The following is a 21,557-nucleotide window of genomic DNA, read 5'->3' on the forward strand; positions in this document are numbered from 1 at the left end:
ATTTTTATTTTTAAAGATAGTCTTGCTCTATTGCCTGGGCTACAGTGCTGTGATATGGTCATGGCCCACTGCAGCCTTGAATTCCTGGGCTTAAGCGATTCTCCCACCATAGCCTCCCAAACAGCTGGAACTACAGGTGCACACCACCACAACTGGCTAATTTTTTTTTTTTTTTTTGGTAGAGATGGGGTCAAGAGGAGGACCTCATGTGATCCTCCTGCCTTGGCCTACCAAAGTGCTAGGACTACAGGCTTGAGTCACTGTGCTGGGCCTGAGAAACACTACTTTATATTCAAAAATATTATCATTCATCTTTATATTCTCAGAGTGTAGCACAGCCCTAATGTAGAAACAAATGTATGTCAATGAAATGAAAAAACAAATTGTAATGACATCATTTGATTACGTGCCATAAAACAAACTGGATTAGAGCCAAGTATGTCAAAGGTACAGCCCTGGTCATGTCAGCCACTATTGTATTTTTCATGCTCAAGGTCCATTATGTGCTTAAAGACATATTTGAGTCAGGCCAGGCACGGTGGCTCACGCCTGTAATCTCAGCACTTTGGGAGGCCGAGGTTGGTGGATCACGAGGTCAGGAGTTTGAGACCAGCCTGGCCAACATGGTAAAACCCTGTCTCTACTAAAAATACAAAAATTAGCCGGGTGTGGTGGCGGGCGCCTATAATACCTGGGCGACAAGAGCAAGACTCTGTCCCAAAAAAAAAGAAAAAAAAAAAAAAAAGAGAGACATATTTGAGTCGACCAAATGGTGTACTTTGAGAATTCCTGACAGGAAAATACTGACTACTTCTGCTAAGCAACCCTTGTTCAGCTGTATGGCCATTTCCATCTGAGTGCAGCCTGGCTAGTACAGGAAATGGAGCCATGTGGACTGCATGAGAAATGTATGTTCAGTAGCTACTCTCAGGCAGAAATTTCTGAAAGAATTAGTTTTTATGAATCTTAGAAATCCAGGTCTTCTCCTCATATTCTACTTACCTTTTGCAAATCAATGGAAAGCTGCTGAATGAGTGCTTGGAGCTCTTGTTCCTTTTGTTCCAGGGCTGTGATCTTACTTTCTGCACCTGTTTTTGAAGCTATCACATGATCTCTTCATCAAAAGAAAGCAGACAATGAACAAATTTGGATATCTCATCTAATATACAGTCTTCTGCAGGAAAAATACAAATGGTTTCTTCTGTGTCAGGGCTACAAGCATCATTAGCCACATGCAGGTTTTCAACGGAAAAAGCCTCGGCTCTCTCTGAAGCAGGAGCCCAAAGAGAAAAAGTCCACCCTAGTTTAAGAAAGAAATCCTGACCTGCCTTTCCTTAGTCTATTAATACTTTACAAACTAAAACCACACTGAATTGTTCAGCAGGGTGGAACTGTCCTGAGTTTCAGCAGCTGAAGGGGAAAATGGGTTGGAGGTAGGGTGAGGCCTGAGTCCTAGGCAGGTAAGGATGTGTCCAGAAGCCTTTGCCAGCACCGGAATCAGAAAGTGGTGTAATGAACAATGGGGAAAGGTGGGCAGGCTATAGCCAGAACTACACTAACACCTCTTCCCAAGGGCCCCACAGACCAAGCAAGAACCTCTGCTCTTCCAGCGTTGAGTAGTGTCTCTGCAATTCTTCTAGCTTCTGGCTTAAGTCTGATGACATCTGATTGGAGTTCATCAACTCCTCCTGGGTACGACTAAGTTCTCTGGTTCGTGCCTCCAATTCTTGTTCCATTTTCCCTAGACTTTCTTCTTTTTTTAAAAGCTGACACAAAAATACAAAGTTTCATTGGGCTATGCTAAGAAAAATACACTTAAGATCAGGCATGCTGGCTCACGCCTGTAATCCCAACACTTTGGGAGGCTGAGGCAGGTGGATCACTTGAGGTCAGGAGTTTGAGACCAGCCTTGCTGACATGGCAAAACCCTATCTCTACTAAAAATACAAACATTAGCCGGGCGTGGTGGCGGGTGCCTGTAATCCCAGCTACTCGGGAGGCTGAGGCGGGAGAATCACTTGAACCCGGGAGGTGGAGGTTGCAATTAGCCAAGATCGCGCCACTGCACTCCAGCCTGGGTGACAGAGCTAGGCTCCATCTCAAAAAAAAAAAAGAAGTAAAAAAGAAAAATACACTTAAATCTCGGCTGGATACGGTGGCTCACGCCTGTAATCCCACCATTTTGGGAGGTTGAGGCATGCATATCGTTTAAGCCCAGGAGTTTGAGAGCAGCCTGGGTAACATGGCGAAACACCACCTCTACAAAAAATACAAAAATTAGCCGGGCATGGTAGTGCGCCTGTAGTCCCAGCTACTCGGGAGGCTTAGGTGGAAGAATCCCTTGAGTCTGGGAGGTCGAGGCTGCAGTGGGCCATGATCATGCCACTGCACTCCAGCTTGGGTGACAGAGTGAGACTCTATCTCAAAAAAAAAAAAAAAAAGAAAGAAAGAAAGGAAAGAAAAAAAAAAATCTAAGCTTGTCAGGCATGGTGGCACACACCTACAGTACATGCTTACAGTTCCAGTTACTTGGGAGGCTAAAGTGGGAGGACAGCTTGAGCCCACGAATTTGAGGCTGCAGTGTGCTATGATCGCACCTGTGAGTAGCCATTATACTCCAGCCTGGGCAACACCGTGAGACTCCATCTATTTAAAAAAAAAAATGTGGACCAATAGCCAAATTTCTATAACATTTTTGTGGGCTTATAAGAGAATTTATATACCCAGTAGTTAAAAACAAAACAAAACAAAACAAAACAAAACCCAAAACAAAACAGAAAAAGAACATTTTAAACAGAACTTTTCTATTTTAATAAATTTAAAAACATACAAATATGATTAATATCAAATATGATTAATATCACATATTACTGGTGTATGTTTATCAGCAATTAGAGAGTGATGACTAGTAAAATCAGAGTGAATAATCATCTATTCAGTATTTAGCTACTAAAACAAAAATGCATACCATGTGCTTTATTTTACTTAGTTCCTGCTGCTGGAACCCCTCTAATTCATCCATTTCATCTCTCCTTTGGAAAAGATTCATACTCTGGTTCTTCATTTCCTGTAACTGGGCTGTCAGAATATTTTTCTCCTATTTGAAAGAAGAAGACATCAACTCAGGCAACGAAAGCATTAGAAATCTGTATTACGAAAGTGAAAATCTTTTCTTTTTTAAAATTTTTGTCTTTAGAGACAGAGTCTCACTAGTTGCCCAGGCTGGCCTTGAACTCCTGGGCTCATGCAATCCTCCCGCCTTGGCCTCCCAAAGTGCTAAGATTACAGACATGAGCCACCACACCCGGCCTGAAAGTGGAATTCTTAATAAAGGAAAAATCTTCAGGAAATCTCATGCCAGTGGACAATGATGCATTGATAATGGAAAGCATTACAGAAATATGGCATTATTTACAAATTCTTTAATTGAATTAATCCTTTAACTAGAGAATTTAATTCTTTATTTAAAAATAAATGTGTTTTAAATAATTGTGAAAAAGGGGAATAAAAGCAACAATTACGTAGAACTTTTTTTTTTTTTTGGTAGAGACAGGATCTTGCTCTGTTATCCAGGCTGATCTTGAACTCCTGGCCTCAAGACATTCTCCTGCCTCAGCCTCTCAAAGTGTTGATAGATATGAGCCATCGTGCATGGCCTATGTAGAACTTTAAAGTTCTTACATCTGTTTAGCAAGTCCAGATATATATTTTATGTGTCTACTCTTTCGTCGTTGTTGTTTGTTTTTTGACACAGAGTCTCACTCTGTTGCCCAGGTTGGTTTGCAGTGGTGAGATCTCAGCTTACTGCATCCTCTGCCTCCCAGGTTGAAGTGATTTTCATGCCTCAGCTTCCTGAGTACCTGAGACTACAGGCATGCACCACCATGCCCGGCTAATTTTTCTACTTTTAGCAGAGATGAGGTTTCACCATGTTTGCCAGGCTGGTCTCGAACTCCTGACTTCAGGTGATCCACCCACCTCTGCTTCCCAAAGTGCTGGGATTACAGGCGTAAGCCACTGTGCCCAGCCTTATTTTACATGTCTATTCTTAGTGACACACTGAACTGGCTGAAAAACATGAGTAACCAGTAAGATTGAATGCCTGAAAAAAATTAAATGCACGTAGATTAAAAGTAGAACTGATTTCAGTTAACAAGCTAAAAAAAAGAAAAAAAAATTAGACATGACTGGTGTCAGCAGGTTACAATTTATTAAATGATCATTTCTAGCAGTGGACTCTTGCCTCTAATCCCAGCACTTTGGGAGGCCAAGGTGGGCCTATCGGTTGAGCACAGGAGTTGGAGACCAGCCTGCGCAACATGGTGAAACCCCATCTCTATAAAAAATACAAAAAAATTAGCCAGGCATGGTGGCATGTGCTTGTAATCCCAGCTACTCAGGAGGCTGAGGTGGGAGAATCACCTGAGCCTGAGAAGTCGAGGCTGCAGTGAGCTATGACTGTGCCACTGCACTACACTCCAGCCTGGGCATCGTGGTGAGACCCTGTCTCAAAAAAAAAAAAAAAGAAAAAAAGAAAAAAGGACTCTCTTAAGGACTAACCCTTCTGTTACAGTTTCTAACTCTTGACTGAAAAAAAAAAAAAAAACTTTAACGATGAAAAGTAGCTTCGAAGACCTATATAGGTGTCTCATTACTATTTCCTACTCTAGAAAATTTCCCCAACCTCTCACACCTGTAATCCCAGCACTTTGGGAGGCCGAGGCAGACAGATCACGAGGTCAGGAGATCGAGACCATCCTGGCTAACACAGTGAAACCCTGTCTCTACTAAAAATATAAAAAAATTAGCCAGGTGTGGTGGCGGGTGCCTGTAGTCCCAGCTACTTGGGAGGCTGAGGCAGGAGAATGGAGTAAACCCGGGAGGCAGAGCTTGCAGTGAGCCAAGATCATGCCACTGTACTCCAGCCTGGGCGACAGAGCAAGACTCCGTCTCAAAAAAAAAAAAGAAAAATTTTCCCCAACCTCTCCTTCAAAAGAACAAAAACAAAACAAAGAGAAAATTCCCTTTGTGAACCTTGTGAACCTAAGTAGGTTTTTTAGTTGGTTCAGTCCTATATGGATACCCTTTACCAAAATTTTAAAAGATAAAAAAACAGTTCAATGAGAATTTCAATTGCCATAATCTTAAGAGTTTCTTTTACAGCAAGAAAACCTTAACCCAACCCATATCTCCATATTTAAGAAGACTGTCATTAATAGCATATGGTTGAGGATTTTTTTTTTTTTTTTCAAGCACAGGTTTCCTTGGGACTTGACTTTTCTATAATTCTTTCCTTATATAAAACTGTTGCCAGGCACAGTGGCTCACGACTGTAATCCTAGCACTTTGGGAGGCCAGGCAGGAGGATCACTTTGGTCTAGGAGTTCAAAACCAGCCTGGGCAACACAGTGAGACCTCATCTCTATTAAAATTTTTTTAAAAATTAGCTGGGCACTGTGGCTCAAGCCTGCAGTCCTGGCTACTCAGGAAGTCTAGGTGGGAAAATCATTTGAGCCCAGGAGGTTGAGGCTGCACTGAGCTGTGATTGTGCCACTCCCAGCCTGGGCAACAGAACAACCCCTTGTCTCAAAAAAAGTTAATGTATTCTCTCAGCTTGATAATCAGATTTCTATAGAACAGAAAGTAAAGTTAACTTGGTGTTTTATGGAAAAAAAATAGTTGACACTAATGATTATTTTAAAACTAAAATGTTTTTCCAATTGTAGACTTGAAATTTCATCTCGTTTATATGTGGGAGCCAGGAATATATTACTTAAGGTACCTGTACGGTGTTATGCAAGCAATGGTACTAGAATAATCAATTTCCTCATCTACATCTAGCCAAGAGGTTCTCATATATGTTCAATGCTGAGCCTTGAGAAATGCCTTCCTTCCCCACTGCTTCATCTTTAAGTGTTCCTAATATTACCACGTGTCAATCAGAACCGCAGCAGGAAAGAGACGGCCATCTCAAATCAGGCATTTTGAGGATGGTTTAATAAAGGGGCTTATCAAAGCTGTGGGATGGGTAAGATAGCCCAAAAGATAATGTGCTGGCAACAGTTGGCCATAAAGAGGCAAAAAGATGAAGAGGTTATAGGAAACCCAGAGAGACAAAAACTATGTCAAGAAGGCAAACCAAAGGTCCAACTGAAGCTGTGACTTTGGCCATGGGATGCAACTAAGCTGAAGAGAGCCCACATGGAGAAAGGTGGGGGAAGAAACATCCTGACCACATCTTCTTTCACACATGGTTCTTTCAGGGTTCCCCACTGGCTGAACCCAACCGGATGCCAGAGGGCATTCTGAGCCCTGCTGATACAGTTTCTATCGGCGTTCAGGTACACAGAGAAAGGGAAGAGAGGAGGAGTGCAGAGTATATCAAGAGGGGCAAACAAAAGACATCCTGCACATTCACCAAAAAAGGGGAGGATCAGAGCTTTTCAAGTCAGTATCTAATCATAAACTGTCCTGCTTCCAAGAGGTGGTATAGCAATCAGTATGTTGGTTACCGGATAAAACGTTTTCCATACCCCAGAGACGAGACCAACAAAAATGAGACAAAAATAAAGATGAACTAACCTTTTCAAGCTGATCCATCTTTTCTGACCATTCCTAAAACAAAACAATAAAAAAGTATGGTTTCCAGTGAAGAGTATCTGTAATACCAAGATTTTCAGAAAACAAAACAACCCAACTCTTCCCAGAAAGCAACTAACCAAACAAAACAAAAAAGCCAATTAAAAAAAAATCTATAAACTTGGTTTAATATTAAGAAAGGCAAGAGTCACAAAAATAGAAGAAAATGAACTTTATCTAAGATTCTAGAATGGAATGAATTCATGAATATAAGCCTGCAGATTTTTACTAAGCAGGGCACCCAAGAAAAGCTGTATCTGCTGTTCTGATGCAGCTTTTTGGCTTGTTCCTGGGAGTTTTGCCATGAGTACTGTTATTTCTTGGGAGTGGGTAGCTGGGACCAGCTGAGTTGAGTAATTCTGGAAATGATGTTTAGAAATTAATTCCTGAAACTGGGGGAGTAGGGGGGATCTTTTGCAGTCCCTGATAATCATTTTCCTTTTCATTTTGATTTTACCAACATGCTTTATGCCATCTGTGTAAGTCAAAAGAAAAAGAATTATGCCCCTTATTCACAAACCATAAAATAGTGGGAAAAAAAGCCCATTTGCACAAAGGCAATATCCTGATTGCCTATAATCAGAATCCATCAATTTTAGATTATTTCTTCATTTATATACATTCATACCACAGTTATCCACTAAGTATTGGTAAATTGTATTTTTTCTGGCTAGTAAATGTCCTAGATGATGAACAGACACTTTAAAACCAACCAACCAACCCACCTCCTCCAGATGAAATAAATTATACAATTTCTTAAGTGAAACATAATAAACTCTGTCTTAATAAATCAAAATTAACATTATAATATATTGATGCTTATCTTAAATTTAAAATGTCATCTATTATTTTGAACAAAATATACTTCATAATTACTGTAATAGCCAGTAACAGAATTATTTTCCTTCCTTGTGGTTATTCATTCAGCATCTTCCAGTGGTTGGTTCTGCTGAGATTATAGGATTTCCCCTCTGTCCTGCTGGTTGGGATTGAAGAAACGTGGGAACAGAGGTTGGAAGAACTCTGTATACTATGGATTATGACTAAGTTAATAACATCTTCTCCAGGATAAAAGGCAAATGTTTGGGGGTTAGACTTTCAGAGAGGTTTTTAGAGGGGAGAGACCTTTTCTCTTATTTTGGGGCCTGCCATCAGATTACAGATACACTATTTCCCTTCTCAATTTTATGAAACTACACAGATACAAGGAATGATACTCTCACATTCTGGACACATTTCATGATTAGAACTGTAAAGTTTCTTCACTTTACAAGAAAAGGCCAAAGAAAACCTTAACGAACTTTTAACATTTCTCTTCTCCTAGGCTATAAATATTTTCTATAGGTTATGTCATGATTTTTGAAATCACGTCACTAAGTGAAATCTTTCCACCAGTTCTGGGCAGTGCCACATATAAAATACCTGGTCCTTTCTGGCTAATGCCAAAGCCAGTCCTTCTGCCATTTTGGCTCTGTTGGCTTGGAATGTCTCATTCTGCTCTTGAAATTTCCGCATGGAAGCTGTTAACAAAGAGGCTCTATTTGAGATATGAAAACACTTCAGAAACAGCATGACAAATAGCCCATGTGATTACAACTGTCACCTAATGAAAAAGGCCAAAGTCACATAAGTGGATTGTGATACTAGGAAAAGCTGGATCCACCTCAACTTTCCAGAAGAATATTTTGGCCTTGGTAATAGACCACAGTTTTTGTTTGTTTCCTTATCGTTTTTGTTTTTTGTAATAGACAAGTATATATATTTACAAAGATGCCAAAAGGTAACTTTTTAAATGGTACAATGATAGAACACTGAGTTAGGTAGGTTGCCAGAAAACATCAAAGCTGATGCTAAGTGATGGCTACTACCACTTTATCAGAATTAAAAACAAAAAGAAAAATCAAAACAAACAAAAAACCTTTCTTTTACTTTATTTTCCTTAAAAGTTTTAGTACATATCAACAAAAAAAATAACTTTCTACTTCTACTAACATCTTTCTTGGATGGTACCCAAAGAATATATGATTGAGGGTAGACTACACAAAATGTATGATTTATTGCTGAGGGAGTGATGACAGGGATTTCTCCCAGTTACTCAACACAGCAGTAATGAAGCTGTGGTGAGAACCCATTTCCTAATCCAGACCTAAGGGATGGGTACTAGATTTTATTAAAACCTGAGGGTAGCCTAAATAAAGGGGTCAACTGGATAGAGACAAGCTGATACACATAATGACCTACTCCTAAGAGTCATGCCCATAAGCCAACATAAATAAAACTTGCATACTTATAAATATCATCCAAATGTTATATCAACCTGATTAAGAAGTACACTACTTATAAAATAAAGATTTGTGCTTTGAAGAAGGACAAACTTAACCATACACTATTGTTTCATTTCAAAAACTAAACCTTGAAAAGATTGAAAAAAGCAGGAAAAAAATACGTACAATCCTGGTGTTTTTCTAATGCAATTTCAAGCTTCTCTTTTATCTTCTGCAAGTTTCGGACCTGTTCAGCATAGTCTTGGGTGAGGAGGGTGACGCACATACCAGAAATGGACAAACATCAGGAAAGGAAGTTAATTAAACAAAAAAATGAATGGAAATGATGATGATTTTCTTAACCTGAAAACCATTCCTGTTAAGGAAAGCTAGACAGACAGCCTCCCATTAACAATGAACAACACAGGAAAACAAGTATAGTACAAACTATCCATGGTGTATAAATGGTGAGTACAAAAAGGCAAGTTTGTTTAGCCTTGATAGAAAAACAAGAATTAGGCTTAGCCTGGTGATCAGAAATGTCCTGCTATGAAAAACACAGATTTATCTCATGACTTAATTTCAAATCTCAGTTTCCACTTCCTTTTCCGGTCTTAGCAGTAGGATAGATCAAAGTGAACTCACTAAACAGCTCGCTTATAGTCCACACAACTCAGGAACAGTAGTTAGGGCAATAACAAACACCTTAGGTGCAGCATTGTCTTTATAGTGATAGCACTTAATTCTCTAAAAAAGTGAGCTCCCTTTCTACACAGGAACTTGGTAACCTACGCTACATTAAATGTGAATGTCAGAATTAATTATCTAGGTGGCCAAAGAAGATAGTTATGGTTTAGTGAAAACATAGTAGCTCAAATCCCAACTCTGTCAGTCCTTAGCTGGGGACCTTAAGCAAATTATTGGTCCTGTAGTATTAGTTTCTTCATATATTAAATGATGATATTAATTGTACCTACCACAAAAGATGCATTAGATAAAACATTTTACGTGCCTTAAGTGCTTTGCACACAGTGCTCAATAAAATGTAGCTCTTATTGTTACTGTGACTATTATCATTACTCATACTAATACTGTAGGACAATACTCACCACATAGTGGGCCCAGTAAATGTCAGTGCTCTTCCCTGTCCCTTCTCTAACGTAAGTCAAGCTCAACTATTCTTCCTACCATATGGGGAAGGTATATATATTATTTTATAACTCTCTCTCCAACATTAAACAAATGTAAAATTACTTTACCTCTGTTACTGATATTATTTATGGGTAGGAGTAACAGGATAGCAACAATTAAGTTTAAGGCAGATGGAATTAAGACTCTAGCATCAAATAAATCTGGGTTTGGATCCCAGCTCTACCACTTACTACTTGTGAGGCCTTAACCTTGCTAAGCCTAATAAGGCTCTAGTGAGGACAAAATAATTAACTGGTAGTTGTGAGCTATGCTATGAACCTTTGATAACTACATAAATACAAATACTTCACATACAATTTGGTGAATTTGGGTCTGATAGCTACACAAATATAAATATTTCACATACCACTTGGTGAACTTCGGTCTGCTGTTTTACTCCAATAAAATGGGCATTAAAAGGCCAAGGGACAAAAAGAGACACAGAAGCCATGAACCACTTTACAGGATGAAGCTTTCCAAATGTATCCACTGGCAGAAACCAAAATAATAACTCACAATTCTATCATGACCATGCCCTCCTCAGGCAAAGGATATAATGGGAGCTGTGTAAATTGTAAACTGCAGACAAAAGACATAATGAGAGTGACACCTTCTATGCAGGTGCTGAAGTCAGAAATACCATTGAAAAGTGGCCCAAAGACCTACAACAACACTTACACAGGTGGTATGAGCTGCAGGAAGTGGCAACACAGCACCAATCTCTGGTGCTGATGAATCCAATATCTGTTGGCCATTCCCTTTAAATACTAACGCCATCCCTTTCCACCTGAAAGCAGGCTATGCTAATGGTGGAAGATGGTCAAATCTATTGTACATATATTATTATTATCTTTTATTTCCATGGCTAGAAACCTCAGGAGCAGAAAAAATTTTTTAATAAACTTTCAAATTCAGTTTTGAATTTATACTATTTACTACACTAACAAAAGAAGAGGGTATACTTGCTCCTTTCTAAAAAGATCAAAATGATATGTGAAAATAACTATAAAGTCATCCTATATGGCTATTTTATAGGAAGAGAGTCAAGCAAGGCAAGTTTCCTGTTGTTTGCTTTTTATGAGTTCTTAGACATACCAGAAAGTCTGGCCTCTAACTTCCGTATCTGTTCATTCCTTCTCAGAAGCTGGGATGAAAGATCTTCTCTGGAGCTGCTTCCATCGGAAGCCTGTTGAGGTAGACACAAGGAAGGTCGTATTCATATATGTGTGAGACCACAATACTGAGCCAGAAAGTGACAAGTCTTATTTTAGGTTTGGTTACACTTTAATTAATTGTAATCACTGAAAAGCTGGGCCTAGTTTCTCTACCTGGAAAGTGGAAGCAACGCTTTCTTCCTCTTATAAAGTGAAGGAGAGAGGAGATGCTAAACAGATCAATTTTATGTGTACGCATGCTACTGAAATAAATAATAGTAAATAGATCCATTATTACAGCAAGTATATAATACAAAAACTATATTTGCCATGATAAAAAAATCACTTTATCTTTCCAAAAGTAAAGTCCTGGGATAAAGAAGGCGGGGGTTCTTTAGGGATCAAAAGCTGGTCTATGACTACGAATCTTTCACCGATATTGATAAAGTTTCAGTATCTTCATCTATGAAACAAACGGATATCAATCTAAAACTCTAACTTGCATCATAGACTTCAGCAGATAATATGCATTCAACAAACCAATATATTAATGAGGCATACATTTTTCCCCAACAAACCAGATTATTTTAAAATAAATGAATACTACTATTGCTATAGGCACTGCTTGCAATTGCTAATAACTCAGTTTTTAAAATCTCTTTTACTTTTCATTATACAATTTTTCAAAATATAGAAAGGGAGAGAGATTGGTCTAAATAATGCTCTCCATCTACTTTCACAATTGCTGATGCTTTCCCTTATTTGCTTCATCAATTTTTATTTTTCTGAAGTAATTTAAATAACAGACATCATGGCATTTCATCCTAAATACTCCAAAAATTAAGGCTATTTCTCTTCATAGGCAACATATGATTATCATTCCTAACAAAAAATACTAACATCCAGTCCTTAATCATGTTTCCCATTGTATCCCCAAAATGTTTTTAAAGATTATTCAATAATTCACCTCAAATATTCATCTACATGTCCAGCCACTTGCCCATCCAATATGTACTGAGAGTCAGGACAGTGGACAGTTAAGAGGAGAGTCTCTGGTGTCAGAAAACCTTGCTTCAGGTTGCAGCTTTACCACTTACGAGCTGTAAGAACTTAGGCTCATTACTCAACTTCTCTGTGCACTGGTTTCCTCATTTGCAATCTGTGATAACAAACAGCATTTGCCTCACAGAGCTGTGATGAGGATTAAGTAAATCAATACTTGTCAAATCCCTAAAACACAGCCTGGCACATATTAGCTTTAATATGTGTCATCTATTACTAGTTGTCTTAGTCTGTTTGAGTGCTATAATGAAATGCCATAGAATGTGTGACTTATAAACAACAGAAATGTATTTCTCACAGTTCTGGAGCCTAGGAAGTCCAAAATTAAGGTGCCAGCAGATTTGGTGTCTAGTGAAGACCCACTTTCTGGTTCATACATGACACCTTCTAGCTGTGCCCTCACATGGTGGAAGGGGCAAGGCAGCTTTCTGGGGCCTCTTTTGTAAGAGCACTAATCTCATTCATGAGGGTTCCTCCCTCATGAGCTAATCATCTCGGAGACGATTCACCTCCTCATTCCATCACTCTAGTGATTAGGTTTCAACATATCAATTTTTGGAGACATACATTCAGACCACACCACTAGCAGTATAAGAAGCTGTTATGATTATTACTGTTAGTGAGACATAGGAGACATCCTATGTCTCACTACTGTGCTAAGCACTAGGAATAGTGGTGAAACAAAGAGCTCCTATCCAAAATAACAGCAGCAGCAGCAACAGAAGCTAATTATGAAATGCTTAGAGCCAGACGCCATGCTAAGTGCTTTAGATTCTACGCAGAAGAACTGACATTACAGGCCTCAGACTGTTATCCTTAGAAAGGCCTGCTTTTAAGGTTGGTCCTTGGCTGGCATCTGGGAACTTAGATTTTGGGAGGGTTCCCATCATTCTGTTAAGAATGGCTCATTGTGCCTAAAATGTTTGTGCAAAAATATGGGTTTATGCTGAATACCTGGTTTCCTTCTGGAGTCTGGATTATTTATTTATTTATTTATTTATTTAGACAGAGTCTCGCTCTGTCACCCAGGCTGGAGTGCAGTGGTACAATGTTGGCTCACTGTAACCTCTGCCTCTTGGGTTCAAGAGATTCTCCTGCCTCCTGAGTAGCTGGGACTACAGGTGTGTGTCACCATGCTCAGCTAATATTTGTATTTTTAGTAGAGACAGGGTTTCGCCATGTTGGCCAGGCTGGTCTCAAATTCCTGACCTCAACTGATCCATCTGCCTTGGTCCCCCAAAGTGCTGGGATTACAGGTGTGAGCCACCCTGCCTGGCCTGGATTCTGGAATTTTGATACATAGTAGGCAGAGGGTGTTCACATGACCAGTCCCCAATAAAAAGCCTGGACACTGAGTCTCTAATGAGCTTCCCTGGTAGACATTTTACATGTGTTGTCACAACTCATTGCTGGGAGAATGGAGCATGTCCTATGTAATTCCACTGGGAGAAGAATCTTGGAAGCTTGCACCTGTTTCCTCCAAGCTTTTCCCCATGCACCTTTTCCCTTTGCTGAGTCTGTTTTAGATCCTTTCACTGTAATAAATGATAGCAGTGAGTAAAACTATATGGTGAGTCTTGTGAGTCCTCCTAGTGAATAATTAAATCTGGGGATGATCTTGGGGATCCTTGACACACATACTTTAATAAAGGTAGATACAGTTCCTATCCCCATTTTATAGATGTGAAAAATAAGGCAAGGAAAAATGAAGAAATTTGCCCAAAGTCACATAATAATAATAGAGCAGATATGACTCTATAACCTGACCTGAGTTCCTAAGGGCTACACTTTATTGTCTTTCATGAAACTCCCAGTTCAGTGGAAGAGACAAACAAGCAAATCATCAATAATAATGCAGTACAGCAGGTGCTATTACAGAGGTTAGCAGAAGACAAGGCACCAAACAGCCAGGAGGGGTAAAGGGTAGGGGGCTGCCAGAGGAGAAGGTCAGGTCAAGGGAGTTTGCTGGAAGTAACACATGAGCTGAGTCTTAAGATGCACAAGAGTCTGTCAGAGGAATGCAGGAGTGAAAGGGGAAATGAGACATTCTAGAGAGAGGAAATAGCATGTGCAAAAATTGTAAGCATGAAAGAATGTGGTCCATTCTAGAAAGTGCAATAAATTCAGTCTGGCTGTGGCACAGGGTGTAGCAAAGTACAGTGAGATAATGCTGGCCATATAAGCTGAGAGAAGACCATGACAGTTTACCATTATGCTATAATAATGAGTCTGTACTTCATCCTGAAAATAATGGGGAAGCCACTGAGTTTTATGAGTTTTAAGTACTGGAGAGACATGAACAGATCTGCTTTTAGAAAGATCACTTTGGGCTGTGCACAGTGGCTAGCACCTGCAGTCCCAGTACTTTGGGAGGCCAAGGTGGGCAGATCGTTTGAGCCCAGGAGTTCGAGACCAGCCTAAGCAACATGGCAAAACTCCGTCGCTACAAAAAATACAAAAATTAGCTGGGTGTGGCGGCACGTGCCTGTAGTCCCAACTACTCACGAGGCTGAAATGGGAGAATCGCTTGAGCCCAGGAGGTTAAGGCTGCAGTGGGCTGTGATCGGGCCACTGCACTCCAGCCTGGGTGCCAGAAAGAGATCCCTGTCTCAAAGAAAAAAAAAGGTCACTTTGGGGACAGGGAACCCAGATAGACTACAAGTTTGTCCCAGAAAGAAAGGCAGCTTGAAATCAAATGATAGTATAGGTTGAGTATCTCTTGCCCAAACAGTTTAGGATCAGAAGTGTTTTGGAGTTTGGATTTTTTCAGATTTTGGAATGTCTGCATATACATAATATAATATTTTGGGGATGGGACCCAAGTGTAAACGTGAAATTATGTTCCATATACGTTTTATACACATAGCCTGAACATAATTTTATACAATATTTTAAATGATATGCATTAAACAAAGTTGTGTTAAGTATTTATGTGTAAATTTTCCACTTGTGGCCATGTTGGCGCTCAAAAAGTTTAAGATTTTGGAGTATTTCAGATTTCAAATTTTCAGATTAGGGATGCTTAACCTCTGCTAGTAAATGTACTACTAGAAGATGGAGTAGGGAGGCAAGTTTGAGACATTTAAGAAATGAAAGCTGCCTGTAATCCTAGCACTTTGGGAGGCCAAGGCAAGAGGATTGCCTGAACTCAGGAGTTCAAGACCAGACTGGGCACACGGTGAAACCTCATCTCTACTAAAAATACAAAAAACTAGCCAAGTGTGGCGGTGTGTGCCTGTAGTCCCAGCTACTTGGGAGGCTGAGTGAGGCAGGAGAATTGCTTGAACCCAGGGTCCAGCCTGGGCGACACAGCAAGACTCTGTCTCCAAAAAAAAAAAAAAAAAAGAAAGAAATAGAAGCCATAATACGTGTTGACTGATTGGACACCAAGAAGTGAAAGGAGGGAAGAGCCTAAAATACCTCCAGGGTTTCTGGCTGGTGACTTGGGAAGATGAAGGTGCACATTTGGAGATGGAAATAATGAATTCAATTTTGTTCATTTAGAATTTGAGATGCCACAGAGGAGGGATCTGTTTGGAGAAACATATGCAGTTGGATATAAGGGTCTGGAGATAGGAACTGAGGATCAGGCTGTATTAAGTTCAAAACTTGAGAAACCCCAAAATAAATTACTTCCTGAATCTGGGTCAATCTCTGTATTTGGAATACATTACTAAATAAAAGACTTCATTTAGGGTGTCAGCATGAAGGCAAAACAGGTCCATCTGTCACAGAACCCAGCCTTAAAACTACATCCTTCAGCCCGATGCTCAAATGTGTGCTTATATTTCCTCTTAAATATAGGAGCCAGTGATAATGTAGATCTGGTAATCTTATTGCTCCATCCCGATAACCTAATAACTTCTGCCATGTAATCTGACCTGGGATCCAGGCAGTACAAGAAAGCAGGAGGAAGACTCATCTGACAACGGAAACAATTCAAATGTCTATCGCCAGGAGAAGACAGACATTAAATGTGGCCTTTTCAAATGCTGGGATCTTTTTTTTAAAAAAAATCTTTAGAGACAGAGTCTTGCTCTGTTGCCTAAGCTGGAGTACAGTGGCACGATCATAGCTCACTACAATCCCAAACTCCTGGGCTCAAGCGATCCTCTTGCCTCTGCCTCCCAAGAAGCTAGGACTACAGGCATACCACCACCAACCAGGCAAATTAAAAAAAAAAAAAAAAACTTTTGTAGATATGCAGTCTTGCTATGTTGCCCAAGCTGGTCTTGAACTTCTGGCCTCAAGCAGTCCTTCCGCCTTAGCTTCCCAAAGCATTGGGATTACAGGCGTGAGCTTCTGTGTCCAGCCTGGAATCTTATACAGCAGTAAAAATAAATGAACCACAGCTTCCTGTAACATGGATGCATTTTATAAGCATGTTGAATTAAATTTTAAAAAAGGAAATCCAAGAAGTCTACAGTGTGCAACTTTTATAACTTCAAAAACAAGCAGTATTAAATAATAAATTGTTTATGAATACATACATATCTGGTAAGATATTTTAAAAAGCAAGTAAATGAAAAATACAAAATTTAGAATAGTGGTTATGCTATCCTAAATTGGGTAGAGGAAATTGGAAGAAACATATAAGTGGCTTAACAGAATTGATAGTGTTCTATCTCTTCAGATGAGTGATAGATTTACTTTATGCTTTATACTTTACATATATATTACATACATTCTTTTATATATATATCCAGCATTATAAATGAGTTTTAAAGAAATTTATTGCCAAGTGTGGTGGCTCACCCCTGTAATCCTAGCACTTTGGGAGACCGACGCGGGAGGATCACGAGGTCAGGAGTTCCAGACCAGCCTGGCCAACACAGTGAAACTCTGTCTCTACTAAAAATACAAAAATTAGCTGGACGTGGTGGCGGGTGCCTGTAGTCCCAAGCTACTCAGGAGGCTGAGGCAGGAGAATCGCCTGAACCCGGGAGATGGAGGTTGCAGTGAGCCGAGATTGTGCTGCTGCACTCCACCCTAGGTGACAGAGCGAGACCCTATCTCAAAAACAATAAACTAAAAACAAAAAAAAATTAGCCGGGTGTGGTCGTGGGCACCTGCAGTCCCAGCTACTTGGGAGGCTGAGGCAGGAGAACTGCTTGAACCCGGGAGGTGGAGGATGCAATGAGCTGAGATCATGCCACTGCACTCCGGCCTGGCTGACAGAGTGAGACTCTGTCTCAAAAAAAAAAAAAAGAAGAGAAAAGAAATTTATCTAACTTAAGAGGATCCTGTCATATGCAAAAGCCACACTTTATTTTTTAAGCATGACATTTCCCTCATATAGCAACATCTTCATTTTTTGAAATCTTATAGTCACAAATGTATTTTACTAATAAGAAACATATTGTAGGCTGGGCATGGTGGCTCACGCCTGTAATCCCAGCACTTTGGGAGGCCAAGGTGGGCGGATCGCCTGAGCTCAGGAGTTTGAGACCACCCTGGGCAACATGGTAAAAACCTGTCTCTACTAAAATACAAAAAATTAGCCAGGCATGGTGGAACACACCTGTAGTCCCAGCTACTCGGGAGGCTGAGGCACGAGAATTGCTTGAGCCCCAGAGGCAGAGGTTGTGGTGAACCAAGATCAGGCCACTGCACTCCACTTTGGGCTACAGAGCGAGAATCCATCTCAAAAAAAAAAAAAAAAGAAAGAAAAAAGAAAAAAAGCAACATACTGTAATCACTGGGGCCATCTTTCCAACAATCGTCCCAATACAACAATGCACTCTTGCTAACCCCATACCACAACTCAGAGACCTTGTTAAGCAGCAATGACTTAGTTGTTATATAAGTATATATGTCTGCAATGAAAACAGGCCCAGACATTTTCAGAAATGAAATGCAAAAGAAGATGTATAAGGTATATAGACGGAAAAACAGTACAAGAGGACACTGGAGAGAATATGGAGAGGAACTCACAGAAAAATAAGGAAAAAAATATAGAGTACCTTAACATTTACAAACCAAACATTAACAAAAAGGTACCTCAGAGTAAGAAGAATCAGATGTACAGGCTCTTGTACAGCTATAAACCATGAAAGGTATGAAATAATCAAGCAATTTAAAATATTTATTGGAAGAATACCCTGCAAAAGTATCTTTATTTCTTAAGTAAAGGTACTTACAAAGTCATCTCCTGAGTCAGCTCCCATTGAGGCAACTGATTCCTTGCTCACAGACCGTGGGATCCTAGTAGCACCTCCTGGCCTCTGAGCAACAGCAGTCTCTTCTGCAATTTTCTTCTTCAGTTTTGCAAACATGTTTGCTGTGTGGCTATCCTGCACAGATGACGAGCTCTCAGTAGTCCTGGTGCCTGTGTTCAGGATTCAGACAGAGGCGCCTACAAAGTTTCAGACATCCAAGCTAGCTGCATTCCCACTTAAATGTGGGCCAAGGGCTTATGGCAACACAGGATCTACAAATCAGATGAAAGAGACAGTTCAAAAGTTAAACATTGGAAAGATTTCGCATCTGAGTTGTTAAGTTTTAGATTTCAAAACTAAGTTTCATAACTTACATGTACACTTATAGAACACAATTACTAAACATTTAAAAAGCACTCAGGTGCTTCATATGCATATACAGATGAAGAAACCCAGTCTCAAGAAGATGAAGTAACCTACCAAAGATTGTGTGGCTAAGTGGAAGGGCTGGTATTTGAACAGAGGACTCTGATTCACAAATCTCTACGTTTTTTTTTTTTAATTACATGTTGGCTATGACATATAACACACTTGGTAAAATGTCCCAGAGCAGACATCAACATCATATATTCATGACTTAATGATTTCAAATCCTTCCTCCAATAAGCTTAACTACAGTTTAGTGTTCTTTAAGTTGAAGACAAAAATGCATGTAATTCAATTCATATGTAATTCAATATTCAATATGTAATTCAATATGTAAAAGGTGTAATATCCTACTGTTTCAGGATGGTTTGCAATCAACTGTCCAATAGGAAAAGCTGGTAACAGAAAAAAGAAGACACACCAGACAACTCTATTATATAAGTATCTGATATCCTTGAACATTTTCTAGAGACGCTGTGTGGTTTTGAGTTTGATAAAATTACCTCCAATGAGTTTATTTTCTTTCTTTCTTTTTTTTTTTTTTTTTTTTTTTTTTTTTGAGATGGAGTTTCGCTCTTGTTGCCTAAGCTGGAATGCAATGGCACTATCTCGGCTCACCGCAACCTCCACCTCCTGGGTTCAAGCGATTCTCCTGCCTCAGCCTCCCGAGTAGCTGGGATTACAGGAATGCGCCACTATGCCCGGCTTATTTTATATTTTTAGTAGAGACGAGGTTTCTCCGTGTTGGTCAGGCTGGTCTCAAACTCTTGACCTCAGATGATCCACCTGCATTGGCCTCCCAAAGTGCTGGGATTACAGGCATAAGCCACTGCGCCCGGCCTCACAGTTTCTTTTCTTAAGAATGTTTGACATGATATTCAAAGTAAGATTCAAAAACCTTTTCCTCCTAATGGTGTATAAAACACTAATATTCTGGTTCCAACCTTAACTTTCCATGTTTTGTGGAGGATACCTAAGCTCTGCTCTGAGATACACAAATGCCATCTTACCACTTCAGATCCTCCATTAAGGCTGTACAATTCTTCAGAAACTTTACTTTCAATGTGTGTAAACCACTTACTCACCTGGCTTATCTACTAGATTTAAAACAGCTTGGAGGTCAAAGCATTCTGTCCTGCATGAAGACAAAGATAAAATGCATTGGGTATTTCTTTTCAAGTGTATGGCCAAAATGTTGGGTGGGGATAGGGGGAAGAAGTGAAGGAAGAGGAGGGGCAGAAGAAGGATTAAAGGGGGTAAGAAAACCTGTCACAACTCTCAATGGGATACCCTCCCTAACCCTGATCTCCTATGAAATTGTTTTTTGCCTAAGAGCTTCACTTACAAGCGCATAGAACAGAATTGATCACCGCAGCGGGTGCCTAAATTCACTTCTCCCTGGGAGCCCTGAGCAAAACAATTTGAATGAGGTTAAGTTTTCCTGGAGCCAGTATTTATTTCTCAGTTGATTACTACACTCACATACTGTTTACCCGGCCAGACCCTGGGCGTCTGGTCACGGATGTGCACTGACAAAAAGCAAGGCAAAATTGGGTAAAGACAGATGTCTAACCCCCAGGGAGGCAGGCAGGTGCCTGCCACGGCAGTTTGGATCTCACTCCCTCAGGCTACCTCCAGCCCCGCCCGTGCTTTGGACTGTCAAAGAAAGGAAGGATCCAACATCTCTCCCATTTGACAGCAAGGAAACTGAGCCCTAGAGAGGAGGAGCGACTTGTCCAAGGTCGCGCAGGGAGGAATCCCGGAACCCTAGGCTCCAGACTCCCAGGCCGGGGCAGCCCGCCTCCGCCCCCACTCTCACCCTTTCAGCACCCCGGTGCCGCCCCCCGCCTTGGGGCTCGGGCAACCCTGACCGGGCCGCTGTGGGGACAGACCGAGGCCACTGGGAGAATAAGGGGCCTGCTCGCATTCCCGGAGTCCTGGCCCGCGCACCTGCCTCTCTCTGGGAAGCCAGCAAAGCCCCGCCTCCCGGGCCTCTCGTGAGCCCCGGCCCGCGTCACCAACCCCCACCGCCCAGCCGGCGAGCCGAGCAGCGACCCGGAACCGCACGTCTCCCAGCGCGCCGGAAGTGACTGCGCGGTGGGGGGAGGGGGTTGGTCCGACGCGCGCATGCGCCCGTGCGCGGCCTTGGCGGCTACTGTTACCACCTCTGAGCGGCGACTGGGCCGGAACGGCTGGAGTTCTCGGGTGCCCAGCCGGGCGCTCCCTCAGCCCAGTTCGCCACGTCAGCGAGCGGCCAGAGCCACAGATGATGACTGAGTCTCCGAGGCCTCTCGGTCTTTTTCTATTTTAACAGGGGCGCGTGCAGAGCGTGGTAAGTGGGAGGGGCTTCGTGTCAAAAGTAAAAGAACCCAGTCGGTGCCACAGGCCCCGCTGTGCTGTGCTGGCTACAAACCCGGCCGGGGCTGCACTGCTTGGCCAGGCGCCCCCCCGCGCCGCCCGGTCCCGCCGCACCCTAGGCAGCTGCCTTGCCACCGTGTGACCCGGGAAGTCTGCGCCTCCAGCTTCACTCACAAGCCAGTAGCTCCAGAAACTAGTCCTGGGACCTTACACCTTGAGACCAGTTTTTAGACTTTGGCGCCTGTCACCTACTGTAGATGATGCGTTTTATATCGCAACCGAGTACATAACGTCCAGCAGAACCA

The 21,557-nt window shown here is 41.2% G+C and overlaps 1 protein-coding gene across 9 annotated transcripts in view, besides 4 other annotated features; it reads right to left on the reverse strand.

The window, feature by feature from the left end:
* Positions 1-21,557, reverse strand: part of GOLGA1 (golgin A1) — a 69,769-nt gene that overhangs the window by 41,852 nt on the left and 6,360 nt on the right. For 2 of the 9 annotated variants that reach the window (XR_929766.2, NM_002077.4), the window contains exons 1-10: positions 20,845-20,957; positions 19,980-20,029; positions 18,451-18,740; positions 11,190-11,280; positions 9,090-9,164; positions 8,062-8,159; positions 6,583-6,615; positions 2,969-3,097; positions 1,597-1,766; positions 1,003-1,114 (exon numbers count right to left, since the gene is read on the reverse strand). Coding sequence is in view for 6 of the 9 variants with exons in the window: in NM_002077.4 (NP_002068.2) it covers positions 1,003-1,114; positions 1,597-1,766; positions 2,969-3,097; positions 6,583-6,615; positions 8,062-8,159; positions 9,090-9,164; positions 11,190-11,280; positions 18,451-18,585 (843 nt within the window). In the remaining 3 variants the exon portion in view is untranslated. Of the gene's footprint in view, positions 1-1,002; positions 1,115-1,596; positions 1,767-2,968; positions 3,098-6,582; positions 6,616-8,061; positions 8,160-9,089; positions 9,165-11,189; positions 11,281-18,450; positions 18,741-19,979; positions 20,030-20,239; positions 20,680-20,713; positions 20,958-21,557 lie in introns of those variants that run through there. The other 7 variants (XR_007061280.1, XM_005251929.5, XR_007061279.1 and 4 more) reach the window with 5 other exon arrangements.
* Positions 20,549-21,049: an enhancer, noted in NCBI's record as "H3K27ac hESC enhancer chr9:127702954-127703454 (GRCh37/hg19 assembly coordinates)". NCBI's record gives its function as "activates a minimal SCP1, AML or CMV promoter by ChIP-STARR-seq in primed H9 embryonic stem cells {active_cell/tissue: H9 hESC(primed)}" and the evidence as "EXISTENCE:reporter gene assay evidence [ECO:0000049][PMID:30033119]".
* Positions 20,632-21,001: a silencer, noted in NCBI's record as "silent region_20272". NCBI's record gives its function as "represses an Ori minimal core promoter by ATAC-STARR-seq in GM12878 lymphoblastoid cells {active_cell/tissue: GM12878}" and the evidence as "EXISTENCE:reporter gene assay evidence [ECO:0000049][PMID:35858748]".
* Positions 21,050-21,550: an enhancer, noted in NCBI's record as "H3K27ac hESC enhancer chr9:127703455-127703955 (GRCh37/hg19 assembly coordinates)". NCBI's record gives its function as "activates a minimal SCP1, AML or CMV promoter by ChIP-STARR-seq in primed H9 embryonic stem cells {active_cell/tissue: H9 hESC(primed)}" and the evidence as "EXISTENCE:reporter gene assay evidence [ECO:0000049][PMID:30033119]".
* Positions 21,332-21,391: a silencer, noted in NCBI's record as "silent region_20273". NCBI's record gives its function as "represses an Ori minimal core promoter by ATAC-STARR-seq in GM12878 lymphoblastoid cells {active_cell/tissue: GM12878}" and the evidence as "EXISTENCE:reporter gene assay evidence [ECO:0000049][PMID:35858748]".

The sequence above is a fragment of the Homo sapiens genome, chromosome 9, assembly GCF_000001405.40.
Source record: "Homo sapiens chromosome 9, GRCh38.p14 Primary Assembly".
Lineage (NCBI taxonomy): Eukaryota > Metazoa > Chordata > Mammalia > Primates > Hominidae > Homo > Homo sapiens.